The sequence below is a fragment of the Homo sapiens genome, chromosome 17 (genome assembly GCF_000001405.40).
Source record: "Homo sapiens chromosome 17, GRCh38.p14 Primary Assembly".
Taxonomy (NCBI): domain Eukaryota; kingdom Metazoa; phylum Chordata; class Mammalia; order Primates; family Hominidae; genus Homo; species Homo sapiens.
The window spans coordinates 78890426-78913499 of record NC_000017.11 but is presented as its reverse complement, the minus strand read 5'-3'; the positions used below and the strand labels follow the sequence as shown (position 1 = coordinate 78913499).

Sequence of the window (23074 nt, the reverse complement as noted above, 5' to 3'; positions counted from 1 at the left end):
GGCTCAAGCCGTCTTCCCACCTCGGCCTCCCAAAGCACTGGGATTACAAGCGTGAACCACTGCACCCAGCCTGCTTTTGAGCTGCTTTATTGAGATGTAATTCACATACCATGAGGTCACTCCTCTAAAGTGCACAGTTCAGCGGTTTGAGTACATTCACAGAGCCGCACAGCCATCATCTCTAATTTTGCAGCTTCCAGAGTAGGGCCTCAACGTGGGTTCACGTGATGTTTCCCCAGATAGACTCAGGTCAAACGCTGTTGTTAGAGCCCTGCAGAGCCGCGGGTCTCAGCCCTTGTTGGTATGGCGAGGTCCTGTAGCCGGCAGTCGGCCTCCCAAAATGTTGTTGGCTTTTTCCAGCGGTTGGCAAACTAGACCCACTGCTGGGCTGATGGCCTGTTGTTGTAAATATTTTTTTTTCTTTTTGCCACCACACCCGGCTAATTTTTGTATTTTTAGTAGAGACAGGGTTTCACTATGTTGGCCAGGCTGGTCTGGAACTCCCAACCTCAGGTGATCTGCCCGCCTCGGCCTCCCAAAGTACTGGGATTACAGGCTTGTGCCACGGTGCCTGGCCTAGTGCAAATAAAGTTTTATTGGAACACAGCCACGCCCACTGGTAAGGCCAAACCCACGTGGCTTTTGTGCTATAACAACAGAGTTGAATGGCGGTGATCAAGGACTGTATGGGCCTCAAAGTCTAAATTACTTACCAGCTGGCTGTTCATAGAAACCTTTTCGGATCCCCAGCCTAAGTCATCGCAGGCTGATGGCACAGGTCTGGGCTTCCCAGTCCTTGTGTGGCTGGCTCCTCTCTCCCCGGATTGCCTGTTCCCTGCTTTCCAGAAGCAAGCAGGTGGCCTGGGAAGAAGTGGAACCTGCAGGGTGTCATTCTCCAAGCCGATGCTGAAGATGCAATGCCTTCACCCGCCTCTTCTGTGCTCTTCATCGCACGGGTGGGCTAGAGCAGGGAAGATGGACTTTCAGGCTGGAGCCTGGCTTTCTGTGGTGGGATGTTCTGTGGGTACCGAGACCCCCTTACTGCATCTTCAGGGACAGAATCTGGCTTGGGTTGAGAGTTTATTTGGCCCTTTCTGATCTGTAATCGGGAGAGATTGATTGAGCTTTCCTGACACAGACGTGGCAAAGCAAACTGGCAGTGGGGCAGGCTTTGCCAAGGCTCGTCATGGTAGCGGAGGCCTGGACAGAGCACCCGCCAACAGCTGCTGCTTAACCAAGGACAGAATGAGGAAATGGACATTTCAGAGAAAAGAGGCGACATGAAAAGTATTGGAGAAAAGAGCCTGGGCTTTGGAGTCAAGTGGGACTGGTTCTGAATCCCGACTGTGTGCCTCTCTGAGCCTTGGTTTCCTCTTCTGTAAAAGCAAGATCAGACTCTTCAGTGTGGTGCCATGGGAGATTCATATTTTTTTTTTGAGACAGAGTCTCACTCTGTTGTCCAGGCTGGAGTGCAGTGGCACAATCTTGGCTCACTGCATCCTCTGTCTCCCGGCTTCAAGCAATTCTCCTGCCTCAGCCTCCCCAGTAGCTGGGATTTCAGGCGTGTGCCACCATGCCCAGTTCAATTTTTTTTTTTTTTTTTTTGGTGTGTTTTTAGTAGAGATAGGGTTTCACCATGTTGGCCTGGCTGGTCTTGAACTCCTGACCTCAAGTGATCCACCCGCCATGGCCTCCCAAAGTATTGGGATTATAGGCGTGAGCCACCACACCCTGCCAAGATTAAATTTTTGATGAGTGAGTCAAATGGAGGCCAGGTGGGGTGGCTCATGCCTGTAATCTCAGCACTTTTGGAGGCCAAGGTGGGCGGATCACTTGAGGTCAGGAATTTGAAACAAGCCTGGCCAACATGGCGAAACCCCATCTCTACTAAAAATATTTTTAAAATTAGCTGGGCATGGTGGCGGGTACCTGTAATCCCAGCTACTCGGGAGGCTGAGGCAGGAGAATCACTTGAACCCAGGCGGAGGTTGCAGTGAGCTGAGATCACGCCACTGCACTCCAGCGTGGGTGACAGAGTGAGACTCTGTCTCAAAAAACAAAAAACAAAAAACAAAAACAACAAAAGCACTGGAGGGGCTCAATAGTTAGTTAGTTTGTCCTAGACCCTTCTAGAATGTTGAGATCCTGGACAGTGCTTCTGAGAAACCTGCAGTCTCTGTCCAAGGAGCCCTTAAGGAAGAAAGGCAGGAGTGTGGGGCAGGAAGACCAGCTTCCCCTTTCCATTCCACACGGCTGGCTCGCAATATTCTGTTTCTCCTGCGACAGCCTGGTTCCTCCCTGCTCCCCAGCTCGCCTCTGCCACCATTCTTCCCTCAGTCCAGATCAAGAGTTCAAGGGACGGGGACAGATGATCAGAAAGGCCCAGCTCAGGCAAGGAAGGGGAGAAAAGGGAACTCGTATATGCGGTGGGTGGGAATGGAAAGTAGTACAGTCACTATGGTGGAGGTTCCTCAAAAAACTACAAATAGAACGGCCATATGATCCAGCAGTCCCACGACTGGGCATTTATCCAAAGGAAAGGGAATCAGTGCATCAGAGAGACACCTGCACCCCCATGGTCCTGGCAGCACTGTTCACAATAGCCAAGATATGGAATCAACCTCAGTGTCCAACAACAGATGAATGGCTAAAGAATGAAATAGTATTTCATTGTGGATGTTGGTACATCTACACAATGAAATACTACTCAGCCATAAAACAGAATGAAATCTTGTCATTTGCAGCAACATGAATGGAACTGGAAGACGTTAAGTGAAATAAGCCAGGAACAGAAAGTTAAACATGGCATGTTCTCACTCATATGGGAAAGCTAAAAAAAAGAAAAGTTGATCTCATCGAAGTCAAAAGTAGAACAGAGAATACTAGAGTCTGGGAAGGGTTGGGGGAGGAGAGAGGGAGAGATTTGTTAAAGGATACAAAATTACAGCTAGATAGGAGGAATGAGTTATAGTGTTCCATGTCACTGTTGGATTAATGTAATTAACAATAGGCCAGGCGGTGGCCCACACCTTTAATCCCAACACTTTGGGAGGCCAAGGTGGGCGGATCACCTGAGGCCAGGAGTTTGAGACCAGCCTGGCCAAAATGGTGAAACCTTGTCTCTACTAAAAATATAAAAATTAGCCAGGCCTGGTGGTGTGTACCTGTGATCCCAGTTACTCAGGAGGCTGAGGCAGGAGAATCGCTTGAACCCGGGAGGTGGAGGTTGCAGCGAGCCGAGATCACGCCACCACACTCTAGCCTGGGCTACAGAGCGAGACTCCGTGTCTCAAAAAAAAAAAAAAGAAAAAGAAATTAACAAAAGTATATTGTATAGTTTCAGATAGCTCGGAGGACATTGAATGTTCCTACCACAAAGAAAGAAATGCTTGAGATGATGGCTGTGCTAATTACCCTGATCTGATCACTATACATTGTATGTATCTAAACATCACTATATATGCCATAAATATTACAATTATGTGTCCATTAAAAATAAAGGCCCAGCCCAGCTCACATAAGGACGGCAGGTGTGTTCCTTAAAGCATCACACCGGGTCCCAGTACTAGACGGACACTCCGCCTCCGGTTGTGTGACTCTGCCTTTTCTGTGCCCTAGTTCCCTGTTTGCTCCAGCTAGTTGAGAATCCACACTGCCTGGGTCACAGTGCCCGGCCTGGGTCCCGTAATGTTGTGGGGGGCGGGGGGTGGAATAAGGGAGAAAGCCAGGAGTGCCAGCAAGGCCGGCTACTTGGAGTGTCGGTAGCATGACGCTGCACGTCTAGAGCATGTACAGAAACCCGATGAGACCCGAGCCTTACGGTGACCCTAGGTACAGAGGACGTTTGTCACCACTGGGTCTCTCTAACACTGGGAAGGTGACATAATCCGTTTGCCCACGGTCACACGGGCAGCTGGGGGTCCAGCTGCACCATGGCCAGGCCTCTGGCACCAGGTGATGGGGTACGGGGTGCTTCAGTGACACAGCACTTGACGTGACATGAGGGAGAAAGGACTGGGTGGGGGGGTCATTCGTGGGCTTCAGGTCCGGGGGGATTATTATGCTCAGAAGGCATGTGCTGACACTGTGGCAGGAGAGCTCTGGGGACAGGTGGGCTCCTTGATTTATCTTTTTTTTTTTTAAAGAGATGAGGGTCTTGCTCTGTCGCCCAGGCTGGAGTGCAGTGGCGTGATCCTAGCTCACTGTAGCTTTAACCACCTGGGCTCAAGCAGTCCTCCCACTTCAGCCTCCCGAGTAGCTGGGATTGCAGGTGTGTGCCACCACGCTTGGCTAATTTTTAAAATTACTTTTGTGTTTAGAAACCAGATCTTGCTATGTTGCCCAGTCTGGTCTCGAACTCCTGGGTTCAAGTGATCCTCTCATCTCAGCCTCCCAAAGTGCTAAGATTTCAGGCATGAGCCACTGCACCTGACCTACCTACTGTTTTGGGGCAAAGGCTTAGATGGACACGCACACACATGACTCTCCTGGGCTTCTGGTTCAGCACTTTCTCTTCTGGGGGTGCTCCTCTCATTTCATCCTCAATCCTGAGCTGACCCCAGAAGCCAAGGACCAGCCTGCCCAGCCCAGGCAGAAACTGAGTATGCCAAGAGGAATGGGGTCAGGGTGGAGCTGGGATGAGCATTGCTGGCCTGACTCTCCCTTGTGAGGTCTTGTCCACTTGGCCCAGTTGGCTCCAGGGCAGGGAATAAAGGAACAGTCTGTGGTGGTCTTCCCTTCTGTGCACTAGTTCTGGAAAGCAGGGATAAAACAACCAGGCAAATGCATAAAAATACTGTCGAGGGCTTTTCAGCACAAAGGACTTCACATCTTCCTTATTTACAAAGGCTCTGCGGGGGAGGTGAGGCAGGTGTTTGGATGGGGAGCAGCCGATGACTTGCCCAAGGTCACCCACAGAGTGGCAGTGCCAGGAATCCAAGGGGAATGATCCTGGCTCGAGTCTCTGGGAAGAAGATTAGATTTCACAGCTTTGGATTTAACATCACTTTGCTCCTTTTGGCCAAGAGGCATGTTGTCCTCAGAAGGCCTTGGTGACAGGTATATTTTGCCTTAATTTGAGTAGTTTAGAGGCATGGAAGGGCATTTTGGCAGCAGTGATCAAGGACTTTAAAAATAAGTCTTCCCTTTGATCAGGCAGCCCTATATCTTGGAGTTTTTCTGAGAGAAATAATTTAGGACACATGGAAGTATTTAGCTGAAGGATATTCATCTCCGTCTTGCTTATCTTACGGAAACGTTAGAAACACCTATATATACAGTAGCAGGGGCGTGGTTAAATAAATCACAGCATCAGATGCTCTGCAGACATCACATGGTATAGCTTTTTCTTTTCTTTTTTGTTTTTGAGACAGTGTCTCGCTTTGTCACCCAGGCTGGAGTGCAGTGGTGCGATCTCCACTCGCTGCAACCTCTGCTCCCTGGGCTGAAGCAATCCTCCCACCTCAGCCTCCCAAGTAGCTGGGACCACAGACACACACCACTATGCCCAGCTAAGTTTTTGTATTTTTAGTACAGATGGGGTTTCGCCATGTTGTTCAGGCCGGTCTCAAACTCCTGAGCTCAAGTGATCCTCCCACCTCGGCCTCCCAGAGTGCCGGGACTACAGACGTGAGCCACCACACCTGGCCAGAACGTTTGGACACATGAGGGGACATTAGACTTTCTTTGGCAAGGGTGTATTTTCCAGTTGCTCTAGAATGAACATGAATTCCATGGGTGCACCTGTTTTACTGGACTTCGCTATATTGTGCTCTGCAGATACTGCGTTTTCATGAATTGAATATCACGGCTGGCTCAACTCTGAGTCTATCGGTGCCATTTTTTTCTCACATCACGTGTTCACTTCATGTGTTTGTGTCCCATTTTAATAATTCTTGCAATATTTCAAACTTTTTCATTATTATCATACCTGTTATGGTGATCTGTGATCAGTGGTCTTTGGCGTTACTGTTGTAATTGTTTTGGGGCACCATGAACTGTGCCCACATGAGATGGCAAAGTTAATTGATCCATGTTGTCTGTGTTCAGACGACTCCACCAACTGGCCGACTGGCGGCTTCTGGTCTCTCTCTCTCTGCCTAGGCCTCCCTCTTTCCTGAGACACAACAATATTGAAATTAGGCCAATTAATTACCCTATAATGGGACTGGGCGTGGGGACTCATGCCTGTAATTCCAGCACTTTGGGAGGCTGAGGCGGGAGGATCACCTTGAGGCCAGGAGTTCGAGACCAGCCTGGGCAACACGACAAGACCCCATCTCCACAAAAAATTAAAGAACTTAGCTGGGTGTGGTGGCACATGCCTGTAGTCCTAGCTACTCAGGAGGCTGAGGCGGGAGGATCACTTGAGCCTGAGAGTTCTAGGCTGCAGTGAGCCGAGATCACACCATTGCATTCAAGCTTGACAGACAGAGCGAGACGTCTCTTACTTTAAATCAAAAGCTAGGAGTGATTAAGCTTAGTGAGGAAGGCGTGTTGAAAGCCAAGGTAGGCTGACAGCTAGGCCTTTTGTGCCAAACAGCCAAGTTGTGAATGTGAAGGAAATTAAAAAATGCTACTCCAGGTGATCACACAAATAATAAGAAAGTGGGCCTGCCGGCCAGACACGGTGGCTCACGCCTGTAATCCCAGCACTTTGGGAGGCTGAGGCGGGGGGATCACCTGAGGTCAGGAGTTCAAGACCAGCCTGGCCAACATGGTAAAACCCCGTCTCTACCAAAAATACAAAAATTAGCCAGGTGTGGTGGCGCAGGCCTGTAATCCCAGCTACTCGGGAGGCTGAGGCACAAGAATCGCGTGAACCCGGGAGATGGAGGTTGCAGTGAGCCGAGATCGCACCACTGTACTCCAGCCTGGGCAACAGAGCGAGACTCTGTCTCAAAAAAAATAATAAAAATAAAAAAGAAAAGGAAAAAAAAGAAATTGCCACAGCCAACCCCAATCTTCAGCAACCACCACCCTGATCAGTCAGCAGCCATCAACATGGAGGCAAGACCCTCCACCAGCAAAAAGACTGGACTCACTAGGTCGAGATGATTGTTAGCATTTTCAAGCAATAAAATATTTTTATTTTTATTTTTATTTCTTCAAGTTTTGGGTTTTTCTTTTTTTTGAGGCAGGACCTTGCTCTGTCACTCAGGCTGGAGTGCAGTGGCATGATCTTAGCTCACTGCAGCCTCGAACTTCTGGGCTTAAGCCATCCTCCTGCCTCAGCCTCCTGAGTAGCTGGGACTGCAGGTACGCACCACTATGCCTGGCTATTTTTAGTTTTTTATAGAGGTAGGATCTCACTGTGTTGCCTGGCTGGTCTGAAACTCCTGGGGTCAAGCCATCTACCTGCCTTGGCTTCCTAAAGTGCTGGGATGACAGGCGTGAGCCACTGCCCCGGCCAATAAAGTATTTGTAAATTAAGGTATGTGCATTGATAAGACATAATGTTATTGCACACTTACTGGGCTACTGTACAATGTAAACATAACATTTATATTTGGGAATATATATTGGTTTGGGAAACCAAAAGAGTCATGTGACTCACTTTATTTCAATATTCACTTTATTATGATTCTGTGGGAACTCAACCCGCAGTATGTCTGAGGTCTGCCTGTACCTGTAATTTTTAAAAGCTAGCATTTGCTAATATGTGGTTCTAATTGCAGTCAACAATAGTATGGACCCAGACTCTCAAGGCTGAGTTGGCCTTAGGCCAGTAGTGAATCCCATGCCAGAGAGAACATTTAGCAGGGCGGATTAATCCAGAGGATGGGGCTGCCTTCTAGAGCTTGCCAAGGCAGCGTCAGGAGAGCCCAGGCTTGAGAGAGATGTCCTCAGTCCAGAAAAGACCTGACGAGCACTTGGCAGTCGTGCTGGACATTCTGCAAGGGCCATCGAAGGCCTAGCGTGCCATCCTGTTGGTCCCCATGCTATTTCCTCCTCACTAGAACCTCTCCCCTTGCTTTAGAATGGGCGTCAAGGCCACGCTGAGAGGATAAAAGATGTAGGGATCTTCTCCGAGGAAGAAGCATATAGAAGATTTTGTATCTATGGGTCCGTATTAGGGTTTCCCAGAGAAACAGAACCAATAGGCTCCATCCAGCTGCGTAAGATGGGATTTATGTGGGAATTGACTCATGCAAGTATGAAGGCTGGGAGGTCCTGGAATCTGCTGTCTGTGAGCTGGAGCAGCAGGGTCACTGGTGCAGTAATGCAGCCTGAGTCTCAAAGCCTGAGAAGCGGGGTGGCCACTGGGGTAAGTCCTGGAGCCCAAAGGCCTGAGGCCCAGGAGCTCTGAGGTCCAAGGCAGAAAGAAGGTGGATGTCCCAGCTCTCTCTCTTTTTTTTTTTGAGATGGAGTCTCACTTTGTTGCTCAGGTTGGAGTTCAGTGGTGCGATTTCGGCTCACTGCAACCTTCACTTCCCTGGTTCAAGCGATTCTCCTGCCTTAGCCTCCTGAGTAGCTGGGACTGTAGGTGTGCGCCACCACGCCCGGGTCATTTTTGTATTTTTAGTAGAGATGGGGTTTCACCATGTTGGCCTGGTCTCAAACTCTTGAGCTCAGGTGATCCACCTGCCTCGGCCTCCCAAAGTGCTGGGATTACAGGCGTGAGCCACCGCGCCCAGCCTGGATGTCCCAGCTCTTGCAGAGGGAGGGTTTGCCTGCCTCTGCCTCTGTCTCTTTGTTCTGTCCGGGCTTTCAACAGATTGAGTGATGGTGCCCCACCTGGCGAGGAGGGATCTTCTTACTCAGTCCCCCGGTTCAGATGCCAGTCTCTTCCCAGAGCCACCCAGAAATCACGTTTTCCCAGCTATCTGAGCATCCCTTAGCCCGTCAAGCTGACATAAAATGAATCATCAAGGGCTGCGAAGATGGACTCCAAAAGTGGGCGGGGGTAGGGGGGTGGTGGTGGACTGTGATCGAGAACATTCCTGCAGGGAGAATGCCTCCCTTCCCTGAGTCAGGGACCAGATAACCTTTCCAGGGTCCTTCCAGCCCAGGACAAAGGGCTTTGTCTCAGGTTCAGCTCTCCTGAGAATTCATCCTCCCCGAGATTTGGACACCTCAGCCGAATTCCTGCTGTTTACCTTCTTCTCTCAAGAAACAACAACCTGAGGATTGTTGCTTTCACTTCTTCGGACCCAAATCATGATTTCCCAGCCACATTTCTCAGTTGTCAAATTTGTGGAGGATGCTGGAAGCTTCTAGTGAGTTGCTTACAGATGATCCAACTGGCGGCTTACTAAAACATATCTTGGGCTGGGGGCGGTGGCTCGTGCCTATAATCCTAGCACTTTGGGAGGTCGAGGCAGGGGAATCGCTTGAGGTCAGGAGTTCAAGACCCGCCTAGCCAACATGGTAAAACCCCGTCTCTGCTAAAACACACACACACACACATAAATTAGCTGGGCATGGTGGCATGCACCTGTAGTCCCAGCTACTCAGAAAGCTGAGGCACTAGAATCCCTGAACCCGGGAGGCAGAGGTTGCAGTGAGCCGAGATTGCGCCACCGTACTCCAGCCTGGGCAACAGAGCAAGACTGTCTAAAAAACAAACAAAAAACATATCTTGACAATGCCAGTCATCACTTTACCACAGACCTTAAGATGCCAACCACCCAGACTAGGTCAGGGGCCCCCATTTCCAGCAGCTACTCCTGCTTCCTGGAAACCCCCTGCACCGGCCAGACTCCCCCAGTGTCCCATGTTCATCCCCAGCCTCGCCCTGCCAGCTTCCCTCGCCCATCCTTCTGATCAAACTGTCTGTGGGGAACTAGCCCTCAAACGAGGCCAAGTACGTGTGGCTTCTCCTCCTGTGTGGGCAGGTGGTTGACGGGATTCTTTCTTCCCCCGCCTCCAGTGGGTTTCAGTTTAACGATGGCTTTCTGGAGCTGTTTAGAAGCGTGAACAGATGCTGTCCCTACAGGAGAAGGGATGGCAGGCGTTGTCAGGAACCCTGACCTTGAAGTGTACCTCCTTAATGGCCTGACAGCTCAGAGAGAATGACACCCTGGGAGGTCTCCATGCAGCCAGCTGGGGACAAAAAGATGTCCTCTGCCTGGTATGGCCACGAGCATTTGTACATTGCACTGTCCTTGTTCACCCACACCTCCTTAAACAGTGCCTTCAGGTGCCCCCATGGCTCCCGGCTGCTTGAGCCAAATCTTTATGATTGATCCCCTAACCTACACGCTTGCCCCCTGGCTGGCTCACAGCTGTCCCTGACCTCACCCCTGCCATGATGTCACAGCTCAACAGCTCTGCTGTTCCCATGGCAACAGCCTGCTATGAGTAGCCAGCCAGGGCAGAGGCCGGGCTGCAGGTGGAGGCGGGGAAGCGATTCCGGCCACCTTTGGTCAGTGGGCCCCTGAGACCACTGCGGGGCTGAGGCTCTCTGTGTCTGTTCCCATCTGTGGTGAGGGTGGGGTTCTTTCCATGCCCAGCTGTTTAGCGAGGCTCCCAAGAGGGCCCCGGAGAGTGGGCCAAGGAGGGGCTCCAAGCCGTGGGTTCGCAAGGCCAGCGGCAAAGTCCCTGCACCACGGGGCTCCCCACAGGCAGTGTGATGGGAAGGAGAGTGAGGGAAGCTGGTGGGACTGGGTTGGAGATGAATATGGTTGTTGGAGGAGTTGGGCTGGGGGGTCTTCAGGAAGCAGGAACACCTGCTGGGATTGGGGACCCCTGACCTAGGCTGGGTGCTTAGGATCTTGAGGTTTGCAGGGAAGCGGTAATGGACGCTGTCGAGGTATGTTTAGTGAGCCACCGGTTGCATCAGCTGTAAGCCCCCCACGTGGGGAGCTGGCGTCTCAGCTGGGAGTTTGGAGGTCAGTCTGCCTCAGTGTCTGTCTCTGTGAAGCTGGTCAAGGGGAGGCCTGAGCCCGAGCTTGCCCCCAGAGGCTGCCTGCCCAACCATCTCCACCCTGGAGAGCTGACCCAGCCCAGGATATGGATACACACAGATTCATGAGCTGTGGCCCCAGTATTCGGGTGGAAAAGCCTGCTGTGGGCCTAGCCAGGACTCATTCTAACGTGACCCACCCCTGCCCCAGGTGATGCTAACACAGCCAGTCCAAAACCCAGTGCAGGCTGGGCATGGTGGCTCATGCCTGGAATCCCAGCACTTTGGGAGGCCGAGGCGAGTGGATCACCTGAGGTCAGGAGTTTGTAACCAGTCTGACCAATATGGTGAATCCCCGTCTCTACTAAAAATACAAAAATTAGCTGGGTGTGGTGGCGTGCGCCTGTAGTCCCAGCTACTTGGGAAGGCTGAGACAGGAGAATTGCTTGAACCCGGAAGGTGGAGGTTGCAGTAAGCTGAGATCGCACCACTGCACTCCAGCCTGGGCAACATAGTGAAACCAAAACCCAGTGCAGTGGCTTGGGACCCCCGTCCCCCCGCCACCACTGGGACGTGGCTAAGAGTTGGGGAGAAGAGGGCGAAAACCAAGCCTCTGGCAGCACACAGCGTGTCATGGAGGGTATTTTTAGAGGCTAGAACTCAGAGAAACGGAGTTAAAAATGTTTCTGATGTTTGTTTTATCTGGGCTTGGTTCGGATGCCTCCAGTGATGGGCGTCTCACTACCTACAAAGTCAGCCCAGTGATTTCAAGACAGCCCTGGAGACAGTGCTTCCTGCCCTCCTGTCAGCTTCTGCCTCCCTGTAATGTGTTCTGGGTGGTCTAGCTCAGTCATCTGGAGACACACACAGTAAGTACCACCCCTCTTCCCCAAGCATTTCAGGTGCTTCTCGTGGTGACAAGCACTGGCATCTCTGTAGATGGGTGCTGCTGTTGTTATCATCCCCATCCTAAAGAGCAAACTGAGGCACCCAGAGTGAAGTCGCTTGGCCTAGGTCACATAGTACTCTTAAGCACCATACTCTGCCATTCTAGACTTTTCTATCCTTTGCAAACACCCTTGCCCCACCTCACCTCCTTTGGCTTTTCTTCCTAGGACCTTTGGTCAGTGGGCCCCTCCTGACCAAAGGAGTTCATTCTCCTCCTGGACTCCAAGCCTGCGGCCTCTTCTCCCCGTCCTTACCGCCCTCCTCCTCTCCCGAGAACTGTCCAGGAAGACACACCTCTCCCTCGTTCAGATTTGCTCCTTGTTCTTCAGCCCGTGCATCTCCTTTAGGTCTTGAACAGTTCTGGACAGGTTTATTCCTGATCATTTCATCACGGTTTTATTGATTTTGAAACTTTATCCCGTGACATGATCAAATTGGCCATTTCTAGAGCACAGGCACTTCGTAGCTGTTGACCATCATTTAGCTCCACGTCTGCCCGTCGGTTCCTCGTGCGTGGAATCCAGCACCACGTGGGTGTCTCTGCCGAGCTCTCGGCATTTCCTGAGCCCTCCCGGAAGCCAGACTCTGTTCTCGGCGCTTCACACGGGCCGTCTCGTCTGATGCTGTGGCGTCCTGCAGGGTGGGAACGGGCGGTGCCCGTGGACGTGGCGCTGTGCCTGCCGGCGTCCTGGGCACCACAGCGTTGCCGCTTGCCCACTGCCTCCTAGCATGGCCAGGTGAGGTCGGGCTGGCTGGGCTGCACCATTCGCTCGCATGTTAGAGGCGTTTCTGTTCACTCAGGGGACAGTCACGTTGGCCCTTCTGGTGGCCCAGCGTCTTTTGTCCCCTGTGCTGCTCCACACACCCACCTCTGTACTTGCATAGTTGGATTTAGGGACCCACATATAAGTTTTAGATGTGTTCCCATTACCTTTTTTTATCTTGTAAGATTTGGCCAGTTGTGCAAGCTGTTAAAAACCTCTAGGCTAGAGTCTAGCAACAATTTTCCACCTCCCCCAAGGGTTATCTGTATCCGGGGATGCCCACAGCTTTGAATTGATAAGGTCAGGTGTGAAAGCTCAGGCAGTGGTCCTGTGGAAGAGCCCACCACCACCTCGGACTCTACTTACTTTATTAAAAAACACATTTTTTTTTTTTTTTGAAATGGAGTCTTGCTCTGTTGCCTAGGCTAGAGTACAGTGGTGCGATCTTGGCTCACTGCAACCTCCGCCTCCTGGGTTCAAGTGATTCTCCTGCCTCAGCCTCCTGAGTAGCTGGGATTACAGGCATATACCACCACACCTGGCTAATTTTTTGTATTTAGTAGAGACGAGGTTTCACCACGTTGGTCAGGCTGGTCTCGAACTCCTGTCGTGAGGTGATCCAGCCACCTCAGCCTCCCAAAGTGCTGGGATTACAGGCGTGAGCCACCGCGCCCGGCCAAAAAAACCACAATTTTAATAAGCTTGTTTGTGTGGCTGCTGTCAGACAGTTATGACCAGGGAAGGGAGGACACAGGAAGCTCTAAAAAGGCGACTTAAAAAACCCAAATTGCATTCTGGGGTCACTTAGTTTATGGGACCTCTGTTCTTTACATTTTAAAAGCCCTCGAGGGATTTCCTATATTATCATCCCAAAGACAATCCAAAATTTCCCCCAAAGAAGGTCAAATTACATATTCTACGTAGGCGCCTTAGACAGAGAAATGTCTAACTTTCCATATGAAAGGGTAAGCTCTAATTATATGGAAATGTTCTCTCTCTGGCCGATGCCAGCTAACGGAGCCCTTCTATAGCTATTTTTATGTTTCAAAGACAAAGCGCTTGACTATGTGGCCCGGGTGCTGGGCTTCTGGAGAAAGGGAAGAGCATTCTCTTTGTTCCCTTGGAGGGTTGGGGCATCCTGGGGGAGTGGGAACGAGGCCTGGGCTGGGGACATGCGGGTAGGATGGGGAAGGGGGTGTGTCCATGTCACGAGGAACCTGCATGAGCACATTCCAGGCGCTGCTGGGTGTGGGGCATTTGGGAATGGCCAGGAGCTCTACCACCCCTGTCTGGTGTGCAGCGTTCCAGGCTAGGGTGGCTCCCAGGGGAGCCAGGGCGAGCTGCTTGACCGTTCTCAAGCCTCTAGGCCCAGAGATTGCCAGGCTTTGGCAGGGCAGCTGGTGAACTGGCTGCATTCCTGGGCCCCTCCCGCAGGGGCTGGGATAGGATCTGTCAGGGGTGAGGCCCAGGAATCTACCCCTTCACCAGCAGCTCAGCTGATTATGATGCACGTGGCTGCGGGTTGCACTCAGAGACTTGCTGGTGTGGACAGCAGGGAATCACATGGGGGATGCTGAAATGTAACCCAGGTCTCTCAGTTAGACAGCGCTGGGCTGCAGTGCGGGAGAGGACGGGGTGCAGGCCTGGGGGTCGGGGGCAGAGAGGCTGATTGGGAGGCTTTTAAGGGCCTCAGGTGAGAGATGATCAGGGCTGAGCTGCTGGCAGGGGAGGAAGGCAGAGCAAGATGCAGCTTCCTGGAAGAGATGGTTTGCCAGGGCCGCAGTACTCCAAGCGTGGTCCCCCAGATGGCAGCATCAGCATCCCTGGGAGCGCTTTAGAGATGCAGAGTCTGGCGGGCGTGGGGGCTCACACCCGGAATCCCAGCACTTTAGAGATGCAGAGTCTGGCGGGTGCGGGGGCTCATGCCTGGAATCCCAGCACTTTGGGAGGCCAAGGCGGGCAGATCACTTGAGGTCAGGAGTTTGAGACCAGCCTGGCCGGCATGGTGAAACCCTATCTCTACTAAAAATACAAAAATTAGCCAGGCATGGTGGCGCGTGCCTATAGTCCCAGCTACTTGGGAGGCTGAGGCAAGAGAATTGCATGAACCCAGGAGGGGGAGGTTGCAGTGAGCTGAGATTGCACCACTGCACTCCAGCCTGGGCAACAGAGCAAGACTCCGTCTCAAAAAAGAAAAAAGAAAAGAAAAAGAAATGCAGAGTCTTGGGCCCCACCCAGACTATTGAATCAGAGCCTAACTGTTAACAAGATTCAAGCAGCACCATGGCCAGGTCTCACCCTTCTGTGCATGTTGACAAATCAAGTACTTGAGCAGAAAGAAGATGGGGATGATCGACGTGATGAACTCAGAGGCACCAACCGTGGTGTCCTGGGTCGATGCACACAGAATGCACGCAGGCCCCTTGCAGGCCTTCCCACCCTTCAGAAGCTCAGCACACCTGTCAGGGTCACAGGAGGGCCAGGGAGGTCAGAGGTCACGTGAGGCCAAGCACAGTCCAAGCAGAGTCTCCTTGTGCTGTGGAAGTGGTTTCCAGCTCTGACCTCCCTGGGCAGCAGGCTAGGAGCCTGGATCAGGGGCCTGCCTGCTCGGCCCGGAATCCCTGCTGCCCTGATTACGAGCTATGTGGCCTTAGGCAAGTTACTTAACCTCTCTGAGTCTCAATTTCCCTGTCAGATTGTGCGGATAGGAATAGGCCTCACCTCCTATGGTGAGGCGGTGAGATGGAGAGAGGTGTACGTGAAATGCCGGAAGAGTATGAAACCCTGCGGGTCTGCGTGCTGATCAGTGTGATGTCTGGATTCAAACCCAGCTCCTCCGTGTAAGCTGGGAAAGTTATTCAGCCTCTCTGAGCTTTTGTTTCTTTTTGTGAGCTCAGAGGGGAAATCAAGGAGAGCTGGAGGCGGCAGGGACAAGGTTGCATCCGATGGTGTCATGGGGGAAATCAATTCCTGAATGATGGAGCCAGCTGTGATTTTCTGGACTTTATCCCAAAGACCTCTGCCCAGATGTTTTAAGTTTGTACCCATTTCCGTGTCTCCAGGAAAACCGACACAGCAGCCCCGCTGGCTCCTTTCACAGTCACCCTCTGGATCATGTTGCAGTGACTCTAGCCAAGGGTATGGCCTGTGTCGTGTCTGTTACAGGCCGAGGTGGGAAGAAAAGGTTGTCCCTGTATCTGGAGGGGCCAGTTCATGCCTTGAGGAGGAGAGAGGCACTCTGGGTCCTGCCATTGTCCTCAGGGATGGCCATGCTTGCCATTGTCCCACGTGTCTGTTCGGGGGGGTCCTTCTCCTGGGGATACAACGTCTGCCGCGTTGATTTTTGGGTGTCTAAGTGTACCGGGCTAGTATCACATTGAGAGTCACCCACTGTGGGTGGATTCACCCATTCCCGTCATGGTGCCTGGGGCTCCAGCAGCCTCGTCACAACACAGCCTGGTAGTTGGAGGGTCTGAGCCTTTGTTACAACCGCCCTGACTTAGCCGCAGGACTATGCACCTGGTGGGGACTGGGGTGGGCGGCCACTCTCTCACAGGCCCACCCCAAGGCTCTAGATGGGCACGTGCATTGTTCAAATGCCGTCATACCTTGGGGGTGCGAGGGGGCAGCGTGAGGCAGACGAGAGAGGCGGAGGTCTCACAGTGAACCACAGGATCTGGTATCCTGCAGCCGGGGTGCAGGCCTGACTGTGGAGCCCCCATTCTGGGCGCCTCACACTCCCTATGACTGTGATGCTTGCCCCCCGCCCCCCGATGCCACAGGAGTGCACAGCAGGCCTGGAGTCTCCTTCGGAGGGGGTGAGGAGGCCGGCGGGGGGCGGGGGGGTGCTGTCTGTGGGCCCTGGCACTTCCACGCTGCCTGGGTGGAGGGTCCCTGGGTGAGGTCTGCCTTGGCTGAAAAGCTGTCTGAGCGGCCGCCCAGGGAAAGGCGAGCTGCTTGGACGTCATTCTCAAGCTGTAGGCCAGAGGTTGCCTGACTTTGGTGAGAATCGCTGGGAATCTGGTGGCCAAGCACATTCCTGGGCCCAGGTGCTGGGATCGGATCGGTCTGGGGTGGAGCTGCCATGGGCTGGCTCCTGCGCTGGGGCCACGGGGCTGTAGAGAGCAAGAGAGGAGAATGGGCCCAGTGTCCACTCCGCTCTGTGGGAGGCCCTGGTGCCGTCCGGAGGCCAGATTGGTGTCCACTCGCCTTCCTTCTGCTGCTCCGAGCGCGGCTTCTGCGGAGGGGGGAGCTGTGGTTTCTCTGAGTGGTTGAAGGCAGCCAGCAGAAGGCAGGCTTGTCAGCTCGGGGTGGCAGGACCAGAGGGCAGCAGGGGAGTAGAAAACACCAAAGCAGCCCAGGATGCTCAGAACACTCAGAGGATGTGGAGGACAGAGGAGCGCCAGGACCCCTGCCCCTTCTAGAATATTCTAAGCAACCAGAGAGGGCAGGTGCCTCTGGGAGGGGAGCTGTAGCGAGGGCCCTGATTGGAACCATGGCTGTCTTCATTGGCAAGTGTCCTGCCAAGGGCACCCGACGTCCTGTCTGGCAGGGCTGGAGAGACACTGGGCTGCCTGGAGATCAGCCTGGGCATCACAGGCAGAGGCAGGCATCCCAGCAGGCTGTGCAACAGGTGAACGGCTGTTTCTCCTTGGTCATCTTGGGCTCAGCTAAGGCTCTGTTGCTTTCCCTGCCAGTGCCTGCACAAGTCCACGTGAGACCCTGCCCTCTGCCTCAAGTTAGTAAGTGGGGAGGGTCTCAGAGGGGAGAGCAAGGAGAGCTGGGGTAGCGGGGACGAGGTTGCATCTGATGGTGTCAGAGCGGGGATCGATTCCTGAAGGATGGAGCTGGCTGCAATTTTCTAGACTTATCCCAAAGATCTCTGCCCAAATGTGTTAAGTTTTTACCCGTTTGCGTGTCTCCAGGAAAACTGACGCTGCTTCATTGGGATGCCCACGCCAGTGGGGCTGGCACGGGGTGCACTGAGGTCATTGAACGGGCTGGGGGCACTTCCAGAGCAGGGAAGACTTGTCCAGGTTTTACTAATTGTTGGTTGACAAGGGGTGTGAGCCAACGGCTCTTGGCACAGAAATAGACTGTGAACCTTGGGGCCTCCAGGCACCTTCCGAGACACACAGAGGGGCATTCACAGCAGCCCCGACCTCACCACACCTAATTGGACATCCCTGTGGCCGTTCCTGGTGGTCTTTGGTGTCTGAGGCCAACTCCTCCATGTGAGCTGGGAAAGTTATTCAACCTCTCTGAGCTTTGGTTTCTTTTTGTGGACTCAGGCCTTCTCTTGGTTATAGACCTAGGAGTGGAATCTCTGGGTCATAGGGTAAGTCTGTGTTTCCCTTTTTAAGAAACTGCCAGACTGTTTTCCAAAGTGGCTGCACCATTTTCCATTCCCACCAGCAGCGTGCACAGGGTTCCAATTCCTCCCCCTCCTTCCTCACTGACAGTTGCTATTGTCTGTCTTTTTGACGACAGCCGTTGGAGTGGATGTGAGGTGGCAGGACACTGCAGGGTCAGTGTGCATTTCTCTAAAGACCGCTGCCGTTGAACATGTTTTTATGTGCTGTATTAGCCACACATCTATGTTCTTTGGTGAAATATCTATTTAAATCTGTTGCTGATTTTTATTTTTATTTATTTATTTTTGAGACAGAATCTCACTCTGTCATCCAGGCTGGAGTGCAATGGTGCAATCTCAGCTCATTGCAACCTCTGCCTCCCAGATACAAGCAATTCTCCTGCCTTAGCTTCCCGAGTAGCTGGGATTATAGGTGCGTACCACCACACCCGGCTAATTTTTGTATTTTTAGTAGAGACGGGGTTTCACCATGTTGGTTAGGCTGCTTTCGAACTCCTGACCTCAAGTGATCCGCCCGCCTCAGCCTCCCAGTGTGCTGGGATTACAGGTGTGAGCTGCCACACCTGTCCTTCTTTTGCTGATTTTCAAATGGGATTATTTGCCATCTTACTGGGTAGTAAGAGGTGTTCATATGTTCTGGATTCAAGTCTTCTGTTGGATATATGATTTGCAAATATTTCCTTCCAGTCCGTACCTTGTATTTTCACTTTACTTATGGTACCTTTTGAAGCACAAAGGTTTTTTTTTTCTTTTAATTTTGATGATGTTCAGCTTATCCGTTTCTTTGTTTATTGGTTGTGCTTTTGGTGTTGTATCTAAGAAATCTTTGCCTGACTCAAGGTCATGAATATACACCTACGTTTTCTTCTAAGCGTTTATAGTTGTAGATGAAGGTCTATGATCCATTGTGAGTTAATTTTTGTATATAGGGTGAGATAAGGCTGTGAATTCCCATTTTTTGCCTGTGGATATCCAACTGTGCCAGCATCATTTGTTGAAAAACAAAAAAACTATTCTTTCCCCACATTAAATTGCCGTGGCACCTTTGTCAAAAATCTCAATCATTGCATTGAAGGGCCCAGCTTTCTCTCTCCCTTTCTCTCTTGATCATCATGGTGGTTGGCAGATCTGGCTAAATATAATATTAACCACTATTCTAATTGTGTGATCTGATTTACCAAGAGGTGCAAGGACCTCCCACTAGAAGACTTAAGTCAAAGCCAGCTGCAGTGTGACCACCTGAGGTTGGTCAAAGGTGCTGGGGTTCGTCCAAGCAGCAGAGGGCCTGTCTCTGCCACTTACCAGCTGTGTGATCTGGGTTAAGCATCTTCATCTCTGCCTGCCTCAGTTTCCCTGTCTGTGAACCGGGGGGGGTAGGAGCTTCGTATCTCAAAGGATTACTGTAAAAAAGATGAACGGATACATGCCCAGTGCTCAGAGGGGAGCCTGCACGGTTAATGTTAGCTGTAATGTAGATGCAGTATTTTCTGACTCCTGCAACTACATGTGACTTCAGCTGCAACTACGTTTGACTCCAAAGGCTTAGCCTGGTTCCACATAGACTAAGATGAAAGAAGGGAAGGAGCAGTGGAGGGGGACTCCATATCGACTGTGGCTGTCCCTTAGCCTTTCCTGCAGCTCACAGATCTGGCTGTTTCTGGCATCAGCTACCCGTGGCAACAGACACAATCCCGTACTGTTTTGGTGTAAATGCCCCTCCTTTCCTAGGAAGGCCTGCCAAAGCATGGGTCCCTTCCTGATGCCAAAGAGACCTGGAAGAGTCCTTCTCTGATCATTATAAAAGGAAAGAGCTGGGAGTCATGAAGAGAGAGCTAACACCAGCTTCTCCTCCTCTCTGGTTTCTACTGGATTCAAGTATCAGACTTGCATGCACACATACATACCTGCATGCCCCACACGGACACATACACATACACACACCGACATGCACACAGAGGCACACACAGACATGCATACATACACACACCTGTACACCCCCCTGTACACACAGATGTGCAGGCATGTGCACAGAAACATAAACAGATGTGCACACGCACACACCCCTGCGCGCACACACCCCTGCACACACACCGCTATGCACACACACCCCTGCACACACAGCCCCACGCACACACCCCTGCACACACACCCCTATGCACACACACCCCTGCATACACACCCCTGCACACACACTCCTACACACCCCTGCACACACACCCCTGCACACACATGCATGGAGACACACACACCCTTGCACATACACCCCTGCACACACACCCTTGCCCGCACACCCCTACACACACACCCCTGCACACACACTCCTACACACACATGCACACACACCCCTGCACACACATGCACACACATCCTTGCACACACCCCTGCACACACATGTATGCACACACACCCCTGCACACACATGTACGCACACACACCCCTGCACACACATGTGCATGTGCACACACCCACACACACCCCTGCACACGCGTGCACACACTCCTGCACACACACATGCTTGGCAGGCTCCTCCCTGCCCCGTCTCTTCCTCCTTTCCTTTACGATCAATTCTCCCTCCAGAGGCCCAGACTTCCTCTTTTACTTCCACCTGCTCTTCTCAATATTTGTTTCCAAGGGCTGCCCTTTGTGCCCCTCCATCCCTACCTGAATCCTAACCCTTGCCCTTTGGGTGGGATTGTCAGTCTCGGCACTACTGACATCTCTGGCCAGGTTATTCACTGTCTTGGGCAGCCCTCCTGTGCAGTGTGGGGTATTCAGCAGCCTCCCTCGCCTCCACCCAGCTGCAGGCCCGGAGCACCTCCTCCCTGCATTTGTGACAATAGAAAATGTTTCCAGACATTGCCAATGTCCCCTGGGAAACAACACCACACTCTGTTCAAAACAGCTGCCCTACAGGCTCTTGTCAAAAGTGTACAGGACAGAAATTGGGAGGCTGAGAGTGGGCCCTGGTGGGCACGGGTCAAGAGAGCTTGGAGGGGCACATTTTGCAGCCTGTCCTCACAGTGAGAATCCCGTGTGCTTGTCTCCAGGGCTTTGCTCACTCTCCTGGGAGCGATCTGGAAAGCTGCACTTGTGCTCCCTTCCTCGTAGGTTTGCTGTGGAACGTTGTGGCTTCTGTGGCTCCTCAGGCCCGGGGGCGCCCCTTGAACCCTCCACTCTTGGCTCCAAGCACCTTCCCTGGGAAGCTGTATCTGCTGGGTTCGCAGACAGGAACAGAAACATGGATGGAGCCATGTGGCTGAGCCTCTGTCCTGATAACGAAGACCTGCTTTGGAGGAAAAAGCACAAATTGCTACAAGCCCGGGGCAAAGGCGATCTCGCTCTGCAGAGAAGAGCGGATGCCAAGCTGTGGAAAAACTACCAGCTCCAGCGCTTGGCTGAGGAGTTGAGGAGAGGGTATCAGGAGGCACAGCACCTGCACGTCGGTGGCCTGGACAGGCTGCAGTCAGCACGTCTGTTGGGCTGGGGAGGAGGACGGGCCAGGGAAAATGAGCCTGACTCGCAGGGGCCCATCCAGCGAAGATCAGCCAGGCCCCCGAGGGCCAAGGAGAAGCATAGAGCAGCCCTTAGTGAAGAGAGGAGTTGCAGGGAAGAGTTGGGCCAGCAACACCCCAGGCACTCCAGGCCCCGGAAGACAGCAGCGAGTCCAGAGAAACCACAGACTACAAAAGCCACGGGTCGGATGAATTCTCACCTGGCCCCGCCTGAGAAGAGAAAGGGAAGGCCAGAACCTTCGACCAAGTCTGGGGGTGGCCGCTGTGCCATCCATCCTCGGAGGAGCAAAGGGGCGGACCTAGAAAGGTCAAACCCACTCGTGGCTGCTGTGGGAGAAATCGGGCTTGTGGAGGAAAAAGAGAAAGGAACAGCTCGGGCGGGGAGGAGGCAACTGGGAAAGGGGGCAGTTTGCTTTGTTCCAGCCCTGACCAGTCGCTCTCAGGGACAGAGTCTGGAGGGGAAGCTGAGAGACCTCGGGCAGCTGTGGCCAGCTGATTCCAGCTGCAGAAGGGAAGCCGTGTCCCCAGCATCTCAGTGCACGCTCCGGGAGAAGAACAAGTGGCAGAAAGAGCTGGAGTTGGCCTTTGAAGAGTTGTTTAATATAAACAGAAAGCTGAAAAAACACCTGTGCTTGTACCTGGCACTGAAGCCCAGGATGGACCAGAGACCTGGGGAAGGGCATGCCTTCTCAGAGATGCAAGAGTGTGGCGCTGGGACCCCAAGAGGGAAGAAAATGGCAGACCCAGAGATGCTGCCTGCCGGGGAACCCAGGAGCCCAGCAGAGGAGGAGGCGCAGCAGGCAGCGTCCAAGACCGACTTGAAAACGTTCATGGGCAAGGCCCAGAACCAAAAATATCAGGGCACGGTCAAGCCCACGTTTAGAAATGGAAGTCAAACATTGTCTCCCGAGGCAGGTATATTTATCAACAAAGAGGACTCATTATTGTATAGCACTGAATCTGGACAAGAGACCCCCAAACTGGGCACGCTGGCAGAGGGCTCCCTTCAGCTCCACCTTCAAGACCAGGCAGACAGAGTGGGCTCGACGGCATCCAGGCAAAGGCAGAAAGCAGAGATGGAGCAGAGAAGACAAAAACAACTGGAATCGCTTGAACAAATGGAACACCCAGATATGAGCTTGGAAATCCACTACAAAGCTGAGCTAGAAAAAGAGAGGAGGGAGCAAAGAAGAGCTCGACTGGCCCATCTGAAGTCCTCCTCCACGAGAGCCCAGGAAAGGGAGAGAGGATCTGAGCTCAGCACCACTTCCCCATCGGGCACCAGCCTCGCCGACGACGACCGGCACAGTCAGATGATCCGAGACCAGCAGCAGCAGATCTTACAGCAAAACAGGTTGCACAAGCAGTTTCTTGAAGAAGCCCGGAAATGCTTGCGGGAGTTTCAGAACATATGCTAAATGCGAGAGGCCCACCCGGGGTAAATACATCACTGATAATGGTGCTGCCAGCACTGGTACCCGGGTCTCTAAGATCTGTGTTTGCGTCATTGCCTCAGAGACTATTAGGCCTCTTTAAAATGGGCAATCTGGGGCCGGGTGCAGTGGCGCACGCCTGTAATCCCAGCACTTTGGGAGGCCGAGGTCGGCCTCAGGATCACCTGAGGTCAGGA

At 52.5% G+C, this 23074-nt stretch overlaps 2 protein-coding genes across 5 annotated transcripts in view, besides 1 other annotated feature; both read left to right on the top strand.

Annotated features, from left to right (window-relative positions):
* Positions 1-23074, top strand: part of TIMP2 (TIMP metallopeptidase inhibitor 2) — a 72411-nt gene that overhangs the window by 11888 nt on the left and 37449 nt on the right. The gene's annotated exons all lie outside the window — the stretch shown is intronic.
* Positions 10299-22921, top strand: CEP295NL (CEP295 N-terminal like). 4 transcript variants are annotated; one of them, XM_047435083.1, is made up of 4 exons: positions 10299-10366; positions 10729-10832; positions 11574-11715; positions 21041-22921. In XM_047435083.1, exons 3-4 carry the CDS (start codon positions 11672-11674, stop codon positions 22860-22862), a joined length of 1866 nt encoding a protein of 621 aa, XP_047291039.1. In that variant the 5' UTR covers positions 10299-10366; positions 10729-10832; positions 11574-11671; the 3' UTR covers positions 22863-22921. The 4 variants fall into 4 exon arrangements, with proteins under 4 accessions (XP_047291039.1, XP_047291040.1, NP_001230469.1 ...); XM_047435084.1 differs by having other exon boundaries at positions 10299-10426; NM_001243540.2 differs by lacking the exon at positions 10729-10832.
* Positions 10520-11120: an enhancer, noted in NCBI's record as "H3K4me1 hESC enhancer chr17:76898462-76899062 (GRCh37/hg19 assembly coordinates)". NCBI's record gives its function as "activates a minimal SCP1, AML or CMV promoter by ChIP-STARR-seq in primed H9 embryonic stem cells {active_cell/tissue: H9 hESC(primed)}" and the evidence as "EXISTENCE:reporter gene assay evidence [ECO:0000049][PMID:30033119]".